Source organism: Homo sapiens, chromosome 5 (genome assembly GCF_000001405.40).
Source record: "Homo sapiens chromosome 5, GRCh38.p14 Primary Assembly".
Classification (NCBI taxonomy): domain Eukaryota; kingdom Metazoa; phylum Chordata; class Mammalia; order Primates; family Hominidae; genus Homo; species Homo sapiens.
The window spans coordinates 145,973,287-145,985,787 of NC_000005.10; the positions used below are offsets into that span (position 1 = coordinate 145,973,287).

Genomic DNA, 12,501 nt, shown 5'->3' on the forward strand with positions numbered 1-12,501 from the left:
TGGACTTTATCTTGGGGACAGTAGGGAGACTGCTAAAGAGTTCTGTATGGGAAAATGATATGATCATTTCAGAACTGGGCATTTTCAACGGTATCTTCCACACCACCCAAGAAAAACAGTGGGTCAGAAACCAATTGAACTTCTCTCAAAATTAAGTCTTTTGAGGCTCTTTCACTCTTTCAAGTTCTGAGTCATTTATGCAGTGGATATTGAAATGTCCCAAAACAGGTTTATCCTTTTAAGAAGGATGAGAAGTCATTGAATTCTCTGTTGGCCCATATAGGAAGAAAGAGATAGTGCTTCTATTATGCCATAAAAATGACTGCAGCTTCCCTATGTCTTTCTCCAAGGATTCTTGAGCCCATTCAACCAAACTCAATTCTGTTCTTTGTGGTTTTTTTGTTTATTTTTGTTTTTGACCTTAAGACAAAATCATTTTCTCCTAAATAATTCAGTAAGCAATATATGGAAGTCGTTCTACTGCATTTTCTACTTAGACATATAATTTGATTATGGAATTAGTGAATTAGTTGAAAGGGGTGAGGAAGAATTATGAAAGTTGTGAATGAGTAAAAAGGGGTGAGGGAGAATTGGAAAAGAAGGGACATTCATTTTCTATGCTGTGTAACAAATCATCACAAATTTAGAGGCATAAAACAACACACACTTATTATCTCACAGGTTCTGTGGGTCAGGAGTCTGACACAGCCCAGCTGAATCCTCTGCCATCAAGAGGTTGGTCAGGGTAGGATTCTTATCAGGAGGCTCGACTGAGGAAGGGTTCACTTCCAGGCTTGCTCAGGTTGTAGTCAGAACATTTCCTTGTGGCTGTAAAACTGAGAACCCAGGCTTCTTGCCTGCTGTTGGCTGGAAGCTTCCTTCAGCTCCTAGAGATTGTCCTCAGCTCTTTGCCATATGACCTCCTAACACAGCCACTTCTTCAAAGCCAGCAAGGGAGAGAGTGTCGAGCAAGACGGAATCTTATATAACATGAATTAATCATAGGGTAGTGATATCTCATCACCTTTTTTATGTTCCATTGATTAGAAACAAGCCACAGATCCCACCTATATTCAAGGAGAAGGAATTTCATGGGGGTAGGAGCACCTTTGGTCATGGTAGGAATCATGGGGGCCACCTTAGAGTCTGTGTTCCAAAGATGGATAGGAAAGGAAGGAAAAGAAGAGAGCAAGAAGAAAAGAAAAATGGAGGAGAAGAATGTATCTATGTATATATAGCATTTATTAACCATATATTATGAGCAAGGTACTGTGCCAGTTATCTTCACATGCATTTTATTATGTAATCTTTCTCCAAACCCCATGTGGTAGGTGTTAACTATTGTAACGACTTACAAAAGAAAACTAGAATTCAGAGACGTGAAGCAAGTTTCCTGAGGTCGTACAGTGCAAAAAGTAAAACTAGGAGTCACACTTGTTTCTGCTACACTCTATAGCCCAAGCTTTACCTACTACCCTGTAGTTTAAGAGAGGTGGGAGAAGGAGGAGAAAAGGAAAGAGATGGAGAAATGAGAGATAACAGAGCTTCCAAACATATGCAAAGTTGTTCCTAAAAGAGATGACAATCAATAAGGAAATCTGTAGGTCTACAATATATTGAATCGGTTTTCCCAAGAACCACCCAATTAAAAAAATAGAATCTAGAACTGAAGCCTGTGGGATCACAGATGAGTCTCATGTGTCTGAACTCTTTTCTGGCCCACCTGAGTTTCAGAACCTGGAACCAAACACTACAGCCAAGCTATGTCCAGAACCTTGGAGACACCTGGCTCATCCAGGCAGTGCCCTACACGCATGTTCTGCCAAGCTTCTGTGGGAGAACATCTGGGCCCAGGCAGCCAGGCCAGGGCCTGAGTTTGTTTTTCATGGCTCGTTTGCAATGTCCTGTTCTATTTCTGGACACTCCGTCCTTCCCAACTGACACTGGAGCTCAGTTTCCCAATAGCCAGTTTAACAAAATGGCTCCAAAAGTGCCACTCAGCACTAGTCATTGGAAACCAGAATTTTCCATCATTTACTCTAAGAAGGCTGGCTGAACATGGCACATCCCTGACTCCTGTCTTAGTTGGCCAAGTCTCTCATCTTAGAGGGGCAGCTGCAGACATCACAGGAAGCCTCCTCATGCAGACACAAGGTGACTCACAGCAGTGAGAGGAAAGAAAGGTATTTGGATATCAGATCCCCCTTCCACCAAGTGAGGGAAGGCAGGTGTGCTAGTCCTAGCTCCCACCCCAGCTGTCTGCACTCTTTGACTTGATAACAGCCCCAGCTGGTTCCCTCTGTGCACTTCTGTCCATCTTTCCAGAGTGGGAGATGAGCAAGAATATCTGTGATCTTGGTGGTTCACAGTCAGCCCTGCTAGAGTCTAACCAAGCAATGAACCGTGTTGAGTTCAAACTTAACACAGGACCACTGGACCCTTGGCAGAGAGCCAAAGGAAACAGAAGATGTTGAATCATTCCCCTACTGGGGCAGTGCCTAGCTGTGGAGCTGTAGGGCTGCAGACAAATCCCTGCTCTGTGCCTCACATCCCTTATCTGTAAACTGGAGATAATTAGAGGCCCTGCCTCGTGGATTGTTGTAAGGCTTAGATGAGATAGTACATTAAGACATGGTATCAATTGACCAATAAATGTTACTTACAGTAGGCACTCAATAAGAGATCAATGGTGTTGCCTCAAATACATCATTATACAGCTTGCATAAGATAATGACAGGTCACATACACACCAGTGAAGAACCTTCTTTTGTAACGAGGTGGGTTTTTAGTAAATATTTGTGGAACATTAATCGACTTAGAATATTGAACAACTACAATAGAGAAGCCACTTCACATAATGCTACATAAAGAGGAATAATTAACAAATGCAGGATATTGCAGGGGAAAGAGGCCAGGATTCGCCCTCAGACCCCACCACTTACATATCAGCTGTGTGACCTTAGGCAGGTTAGTTCACCTCCCTGAGCTTCCAGTTCTTCACCTGTAAAATGGTTGTAATACCTGCCTCATCAGCTGGTTGTAAGGATTGAGTGAGATACTGTATCTAAATGCACTTTAGCCCAGTTCTGGACCCACAACAAACTCAATAAATGATGACTTTTATTAGCTATTTTGCAGACTAATGGAATTAAGAAGGAAAAAAAAAAAAAGGTGGGGGGCGGGTTTTGGAAACGCACTTGCCTAAAGGCTAAAACACTGACTGCTTGGAAACCACCACGTAGTTTCACTCCCTAAATTGAAAGAAAGAATGCCTCATTCAAGTGCCTGATTAGGAATTTGAATAATCTAGTTCTAACTAGAAAAGTCAAGAAAAACGGAAGGTATTAGTCATTGACTGATAGAATATCTGAGCTGGATAGAATCCTAGACCATATTGACCAGAAGTGACTTAGCCACTGTCACATAGTTAGCCCAGGCAAGACTAAAACATGATACAAAATCTTGCATGCCTAAGCCATCGATTAATAGCTGGGCTTACTAGCCAGTTATCCCCATGGTTCTCAGTTAAAGGTCATTTGACACCATATAGAGGTCACCCACTGTGTGGGCAAGTCCTGTTGTTTCGGTTAGAGCCTGTATAATAAGGCATGTTGGAAGAGGAAGTCCTTCTAAGACTTACTCATAAAGTACCCCCTTCCCAGAGTCTGGCTCATGCCCTTATTTGTCTATACACACTCTAGGCAAAGTAAGAAATTGTTGCAGTGAAATGCACTCATGTGCTCATGCCAGCTCATGACCTCAGCCAGTCCACACCTTCATCTCATTTACAGATGGGAAAACTGAGGCTTGGAGAAGGTTGCCTCGGCAGAGGCCAAGCAAGGGGAAACTGGGGCAAGAGCAATATCTTCTGATTCCTAGTCCAGGGCTCTTTTTCTTAGGCCCGACTACCTCCTGCACATGCTAAAACAAAAGACAAGACAAGGTAAGCTATTGTCGCTTATCATCTACACTTTGTTCTGACATATATGGTTACTATTTTTCCACAGACCATGAGGAAGGGAACTAACAGTCACTGAACACCAATCATATACTATTGATGCCTTGCTTACATTAATTCTCATCACATACAGTAATAAAAGCTAGTACCTATTGAGTACTTACTGTATGCCAGGCACAGTTCTAGGGGCTTTACATATATCTGTACAAGGTACCCAGCCAAGGAGATACTCTGTAGGCTGAATTCAGCCTCTGCTTACCAAGCTCTGAAATGGGACCACATTAGCCCCATGGTAAGAGTGCCTTTTCATGTAACTCCTGTGCCCAAAAAGATGCCCTTTCCAAATGTACACAAAGACAGGTATGGACATGTGGTGGGGGTCTTACAGTATCCCCATATGGCTGGTCCTATTACTATCAGCTTGCTGAGATGTCACAGCTAGTTTGTGGTAGAGGCAGGACTTGAACCCAGGATTTGGCCCTTAGCTCACATTTAGCCTTCCCAAGAAGCAGCTTGAGATAGGCTCTAATGCTACATACACATATACCTCAAGAACAGACATTCTGACTGCCTTGTTCCCTAACGTAGCTCCTGTATCTAGAACAGTTTTGGCACACACAGGCACTCAGTAAATTTTGTGGACTGATTGACCCCTGTTTCACAGATGCAGAAACTATGTGTCAAAGAAGTTAAATGACTTGCTTAAGGTCACACAGATAGAAAGTTTAGATGGGATTTGAAAGCAAATCACTGACTCTAAAACCCTTATTCTTTCCAAATTAACATCCTGTCATTCATAAGCATTTATTGAGATTCTTACACACTAATTCTGTGCTCTGGAACATAGGGCCAGAAAGATTTGTAAGATTTGGTTCCTACTCTCAAGAAACTGGGATTCCGATTATCTGCAAAAAATCATATTCCTGAAATCAGATTCCCTAAATGAAAGCAAGTCCATATGGTATAAGCCCTTGGTACATTTTAAGCCGAGGATACCTTTCCTACCTCCCAAACCTAAGATTATAAGAGTGGCCACCAGAGCCCTCACCCTGGTCTATTTCCTTCTACAACACTGGCCAGCACATTCATAGAACCTGGTTGCAGAGATAAGTCAAATCACTGCAAACTTGGGATGGCCAACGCCCCATCCTAGCTTCTCTAGATTCCTTTGCAGGGATGTCCACAGGGTGCTTTTATATATGTCTTCATGCCCTCCTGCTTCGTCTACTCTTCATGCCCCATCTAAGTGTTTTTGAAAAATGAAATACTTAAGTTAGAAAACCAGACTTAGCAAGTTGTACTTCCAAAAGCAGCAATCATTTCAGTAAATAAACATTTTCTGATTGAGAACATTAATTCAGGGTTTACCTCATTTTCCTTCCTGGTTTTGTTTTCTACAATATTTAGGAGGCAGGAGTTAGTTAGGAGGGTGGTTTTAAGGAAAAAAAAAAAAAGAAAAAAAACACCTCTAAATTCATTAGTTGAATTCCACCAGACTGTGTGAACAATCTCATAATAATCCTACATCAATACGAGAGAAGTTGTAACTAGTTCACTTAGGGTAATTATAGGGCAGGTTTCTGCCAGGTTTTAAAGATAGACTTTGAAATCTTCCTTTTTTTCATTTGCCTCCTGCTGTGTGTGGGGAGAGGCCCTGGCTCCTGGGATATCTGCCAGAGCTAAATGGGGGCCAACTGGAGAAACAGGCACCAAGATTGGGTTCCTGTTTTCCTGTGCTCATACTTCTGGGAACACAGATATCCTACCAAATGGTCACCTGTGAAAAACTCAGGGCCTAGAATCTAAATTCTGTTGGAAAAGAACTGATTAAAGTCCTGGCCCTAAGTAAGATTATGGCAAGGTTTATAGCACAAAATTTCTGATTTTGCGCTAGAACAATAGTTCCCAAAGTGTGGTCCCCAGACCAGCAGGATTACCATCACCTGGGGGAACTGGCTAGAAACACAAATTCTTGGGCCCCACCCCAGACCTACTACAGAAGAAACTCTTGGGGTAGGGCCCAGCAATTTATTGCAACAAGCCCTCCAAGTGATTCCAATGCACCCTAAAAATCTGAGAATCAGTGTCAAGGGACATGATGTTAAACAGCCTTTCCAGGAGATAAGAGTTACTTTTAAAGAGGGATTTGTTCAAACAAAGCATATCTACAAATATCCAAACAAGACCTTTGGAATTAGCTAGAACTAGGCTCTGCCACTCACCAGCCATGGGGCCTCAGATAAGTTATCTTACTGCTCTAAGTAGTGGTGTGCTGGTAAATGTTTAACAAGCAGCTCTGTGGGGGAAATGGGTTCGCTCATTTTCATGGCAGAAATACCCCATCATGGCTACTTTCAAACTATCAACATGATGTCGGCCAACTCAAAAAACTTTTGAAAATTTAACAATTGGCTTTCACAAGCCCATGGAAGCTGGCTCCAGCACACCATTGTCTCTAAGACTCAATTTCCTTATCTGTCAAATGGATGAATAATAGCGTTTACCTCATAGGGATTGTTGGAAGGTTGAAGTGAGAAAATGATAGTGGACTTTTATTGAGTATTTATATCTATCCACCAGGCACTTACTATGCATTATTCACTGACTTCTCAAAACCATACAATAGGTACTGATATTCCTTCCATTTTATACATGAGGAAGTTGAGCTGAAGTAACTAGTCCAAAGTGATACAGTAGCAAGTGGGAGAACCTGAATTTATTCCAGAGCCCGTGAGGTGACAGAGACATTAGCCCAATGCTCAGCACGGGGCAATGCTCAGTAATTGGGAGCTATTATCATAAGATAAATAAACTTCTGAAACGTGCCCTACTTTGGAAGTAGGGATGAACAGTTTGTGTTGGATGAAACCTCTCAGCCCCAGAAGACACATACATTTTCTTCTAGGAGAAAGGCCAGGGTACCTGATGGGAGGACCAGCTGTTGATTATTCATAGTAACAAACGACAAGAGTTGAAGCTAATTGACACCCACACGTAACGAGGCAGTTGTAAGTTCCTCCCCTCCCCAAATTAATTAGGTGTATGTTTTTCCAGGCTTTATCTTTGTGTACACATACACATATGTATTTTGTATTAGATCAGGGTGTACATATTTTTTTGCAAATTGCTTTTCTTTTTAACCTGAGACTAGATCATGAATCTTTCCCATGACAGTCCACCCCAATCTATCTCATTCTCTCTAAAGCTGCTTAGCATTCCACAGTAGTTACTTGCTATCATTTATTTAATCCACAACAGAAGGATACTTAGGCTATTTCTAATTCTTCACTATTATAAATGATCCTGCACTTCACAATCTTTTACATAGATTCTAGCATATGTCTATGGGAGAAATTCCTAAAACTAGGATTTTTAGGATTTGTAAGGCAAAGAAAACACGTAATGTAAATCTTGACCAATGTACCTAGTTACTCCTCACTGTGAAATTTTAAGCTCCCAATATTCAAGGAAGGTGCCTTTTTGCCCATACTCTTACACCAACATTAGGATTACTCTGATGATTTGATTTTTCAAACTTATTATAAGTATTTCTAAATATAAAAATAGAGAAAATAATAATAATGAATGCTTATATACCTATCGCCCAGCCTCCACAATTATCAACATAAGGTCAATCTTATTGCATCTATATCCCATTCACTTCCTCCCCCTACTGGATGAAACTGAGGCAAAGTCCACACATCATACTCTTTCATTGGTAAATATGTCAGGAGCTGCCTCTAGAAAATGAAGATTCTATTTTTTAGCATAACCTCAACATCATTATCACATCTAAACATTTCTTGATGTCATCGCATATGCAGTCAGTGTCTAAATTTCCTCAATTTTTTTTCTTTTTTCTTTTTTTGAGGCAGGGTCTTGCTTTGTCACCCAGGCTGGAGTGCAGTGGCATGATTATAGCTCACTGCAGCCTTGACTTCCTGAGCTCAGGTGATCCTCCCACCTCAGCCTCCCAATTAGCTAACACTACAAGCATATGCCACTACACCCAGCTAATTTTTTTGGCTATTTTTTGTAGAGACAGGGTCTCACCATGTTGCCCAGGCTGGTCTTGAATTCCTGGGTTTAAGTGATCCTCCCACCTGAGTCTCCCAAAGTACTGGAATTGCAGGCATGAGCCACTGCACCCAGACAGTCTCATAATTTTTTGATGGTTTGTTTGAATCAGGATTCACCAAGATCCACACATTGCAGTTGGCTGATAAACTTCCTAAATCTCTTAAGCTCTAGGTTCCCCCACACGCACACCTCCTCTTCCTTTTTCCCATGCAGTTTATTTATTAGAGAGATTGGGTCATTTGCCTCGTAGTTTCCCACTTTCTGAGTTTTTCCTATTGCATCCCTGTGTTGTCATTTAACATGTTCACCAGTCTCTGTGTTTCTTGTAAGTGATAGTTAGATCTTGAACTATGCTGTCTAACACAGTAGACACTAGCCACATGCAGCTCTTCAAATTTAAATAATTAAAAGTAAATAGAATTTGAAATTCAGTTCCTCAGTCACACTAGCACATGGCACATGTTCAATAACCACAGATGGGCAGTGGCTGCTGTATTGGACAGCATAGAATAGCACATTTCCACCATGGCAGATAGTTTTATTGAGCAGCAGTGCTTCTAGAGGCATCACAGGATCCTCTGATAATTGTTAAATTATTTTTTCTCATATGCACTCAAGAACAAAGCTGAACACCCTGAAATCTGCATTACTAGTCTATATTGCAGGCTTACATAATGTAAGGGAAGTAACTAATGTGTGGTAGACTCTACTTCTGCCTGTTTTAAGTGGCAGTGGCTGTGTTTACAGAAGATGATTAAGTATTTGCATGAGTGCCTCAGGTATGTATGACATTCTGTGGTGACAAAAGGTCAGCAGCTCCCCAGCATGCAAAGCAGCCCGACCCTTTCCTAGCCTCCTAGGAGGAAAATTGAGGGAATTCATGCTAATCCATAAGGCTCAGTCCTGCAGTGATTATAGGACATGCTGGTTCCAGGATATTCATAAACATTCATCCTCTCATCAAGATGCAGGTGCTCCTGGAGGCTTCTTCCTGACTATGTCTTTGTCTTGGCATGCATGTAATGAGCACATTTCATAGCACACCAAACAGGTTTCTCAGCTTGCTTCTGTGACACTTGGCAAAGCCGAGGATCCATGTCGAGAGGAGGCAAGCACTTGCACCCAGCCCACAGAGAAGTCTGGCTGACCATGCACTCTAGCAGGAGCCTCCCCTGGTTCTTGAAAACCTTAACCAATCTATGAAGAAATTGATATTTGGGGGTTCTGGTAGGACATATTTGGAAACTTTGAAATTAGGAGACTATCATTCATGGATTCATTCCTTCTCACAATACTTATTGGGCCAGACACTGCACTAGGCACTGAGATCAGTGGTGGGCTGGGTAGAAGTTTCTGTCCTCACAAAGTTTACAGTCAGTGAAGGAGGCAGATAAATAAGCAAGCCACTTCAACACCACTGGTCAAATTCCACCATGAGAGCATGTGAGAGCATCATAAAAGCACATGGAAACCTGACCCTGACATGGACATTCAGGAATGTGATATTTAAGCTGAGACCTAAAAGATAAGTAGCGATTGGGCAGGAGAGGGAGAGGGTGGAGTGTAGAAAGAATATTCTTAAGACCTATTCTAGATCTTAAGAATTCTAGATCCACCAAATAGGCATAATAATACCCCGCAATGTCATGATTAGAGCCCAGTGACATAGCAGATGCAAAAGAATACACTGTATCCTAAAATCCCAGTTGTAGAAAGGCAATGGTGCTAGCCAGAAGCAGTCTTTCACTCTGGAGCAAGTGTGAATTAGAGAGCTATGTAGTGGTGTTTTGGAGCCAGCTTCTACCAGCTCTTAGCAGGCAATAGGGCACATCTCTTCCCAACTTCACATTCAGCAATGTCTGTTGGTAGCCAAAATAGGAGTATTTATACCAGGGAAATTGGCAAATGCTACAAACCAGAGCCTTTTTTTTTTTTTTTTTGAGAGCTGACTTACCAGCATTTACTGAGTGAGGGCGAAAACCAGCATTTACTGAGTGAGGGTGAAAGCAATGAGAAGAGTAGAACCCCCCAGGCAGTAGTTATTAAGGAATGTCCACCCACAACAAAAACAAGAAAGTCTTTGGCATTATTTTCAAAAGAGTGACCATATAACTCTTTCTGCCATTTGTAACAGGCCCACCCAAATCCTCAGGGATGAAAAGAGGAAGACTCCTTCATGCCAATTCATTCCCAGACAAGCCAGATGAGTGTCAATGACACCCAGCTCATGGAAATGAGATTGGAGCCTCTCAGATCAACAGCTGCTGAGAGCTGCTTTCTTTGGCTCATGAGGCCAGCGATAAATTGGGTTTCAATGTTCTGAATAGGCAGAAAAAGATACCTCCTTGCTCTCTCCTGTTCCCTTTGCTGGAGCTGCCAGCTGGCACTTTTTGTCACTCATCATGGTTGCCTGCAGTGGTGATTATACACTCAGTACAGAGGGCATGTTGGAAAGAAAAAGTCTTCAATAAGCGAGAGTCTCCAAGGCAAGTACCCACTGGAAAAACTGGGATGTAGATATAGCTCAAGGCATGTTTTAAATAATGGAGCCTTTTTAAAGGATGGCCTAGAAAAATACTATATTTATCTTTGGCTAGCATGCTTGGATACTCCCCAATCTTGGGGAAATAACTAGTTGGGTATGTTGGAGTTCTTTTGTTAAGAGTAGCATTGACTAAATACCAAAGTTTGGGTTGGGTTTAACTGGCATAGTGTGATTTAATATTCATTTATTGATTTACTCTTCCATTTGTTTGTTTAACAAATAAATGAGTGCTTACTAGATGCTACTAGAATATAAGTCCCATAAAGGCAGGTATTGTGTATGTCTCATTTATTGTAGGCACTCAGTACTTTTTTGTTGAATGAATGAGTAGACGTAGCAAGTATAAAGATGAATAAGTCATACAGCCTGCTGCTACAGAGCTCACAATCTGGTGTGCAGACAGACAAGTAAAACAGCAGTTGCAACACAGGGTGATGAGTGTTATGATAGGGGAAGTATAGGGTGCAATGGCTTACAAAAGAGGAAGACCCAACCCAGGCTTTGGGGAAGGAGATAGGAAAGGCTTTCTGAAGATAAAGATACAAAAGACTCAGCGAACAATGCCAAAGATATTGGCACCTATGTGGATAAAACCTTATGGAAAAGAGAACTGTCACTTATTCCGCCATATCTCATATTCCTAAGGAAGACTTTTGGCTCTATCTCAGAGTGAAAAATGATTGCAAATAACTTCTATAACTTACCCATCAGTGATCTTTCCCATTTCTTGGAGACTTTCAGGAGGTTTCCCTAAGTTCAGACTTTTTGTTGAAAGAAATGACCTTATGTCCAGTGGACAAATGGTGTGTGAGTCTTTAGCACCCCTCTGATGCACAGCCACTCGCTCCTTCCATGAAGTTCAGCTCTATAGGCAGGCAGGGCACTTCTTCTCCAAGGTCATGTCTATTTCACTTGGTATAAATGAGAAGAATGCTCTGAATTTTTATTTGAAAGAGGCAAACTTCAGATTTGCAGAAGGTCTTGGTGATTAAAAATCTTGGCTTCAGCTGGGCATGGTGGCTCATGCCTGTAATCCCAGCACTTTAGGAGGCAGAGGCAGGAGAATGGCTTGAGCCCAGAGTTCAAGACCAGCCTGGGCAACATAGCAAGACCCAGTCTCTCCTAAAAATTAAAAAATTAGCTGAGCATGGTGGCACATGCCTATAGCCCCAGCTATTTGGGAGGCCAAGGTGGGAGGATCGCTTGAGCCCAGGAGGACCAGGCTTCAGTGAGCCATGGTCACACCACTTCATTCCAGCCTGGACAACAGAGCAAGACCCTGTCTCAAAAAAGAAAAAAGTCTTGGCTTCAGGGACAACTGAACTGAGAGGGAAGAAGTCCAACTTCCCAGGGCTTGTGGTCTCCAACAAGGGTCATGCTAGGCTTTTTCTTTTGGTATCACAAAATTAAACTGCAAATAAGTATAAATACGCACACACACAAACTTGTAAATCTTAAAAGATGGAGATTAATTAAGTAAACCACTTGAAATCAAGATGTAACTTTTTGACAATTGAGGACAAGCCCAGCTCCTTCAGATCTTCTCTTCAAGGTCATTCTCCCCAAGGGCCTGGGAGTATTTACAGTCACTTCATTCCTCACACGACAGCCTATCAGCTTGTGGCACCTTTACCTCACTGGCAATTTTGAGGAGGACCACATACACAAAAGTGGAGAGAATAATCAACTCTATAGAATAATGAAAAGCAGAGAATGTAATGAACTGCCTTCTACCCATGACTAAAGTTTCAACAGTTATTACCATTTTGCCAATTTGGTTTCATCTCACCTGTCACCTCTATTTCTGATGTATTTTAAAGATACTTCTGGAGCTTTCATTATTCACCTTTAAAAAGCTCTGGGTCTGGTACAGTGGCTCATGCCTATAATCCCAGTACTTTGGGAGGCTGAAGAGGGA

At 41.8% G+C, this 12,501-nt stretch overlaps 1 protein-coding gene and 1 long non-coding RNA gene across 6 annotated transcripts in view, besides 1 other annotated feature; one reads left to right on the forward strand and one right to left on the reverse strand.

Annotated features, from left to right (window-relative positions):
- LOC107986458 (uncharacterized) overlaps nucleotides 1–12,501 on the reverse strand; it is a 131,758-nt gene that overhangs the window by 37,586 nt on the left and 81,671 nt on the right. The window lies entirely within an intron of this gene.
- SH3RF2 (SH3 domain containing ring finger 2) overlaps nucleotides 1–12,501 on the forward strand; it is a 145,196-nt gene that overhangs the window by 36,709 nt on the left and 95,986 nt on the right. The gene's annotated exons all lie outside the window — the stretch shown is intronic.
- Nucleotides 6,060–6,354: an enhancer, noted in NCBI's record as "tiled region #2549; HepG2 Activating DNase matched - State 5:Enh". NCBI's record gives its function as "activates a minimal TATA promoter and a strong SV40 promoter by Sharpr-MPRA in HepG2 cells {active_cell/tissue: HepG2}" and the evidence as "EXISTENCE:reporter gene assay evidence [ECO:0000049][PMID:27701403]".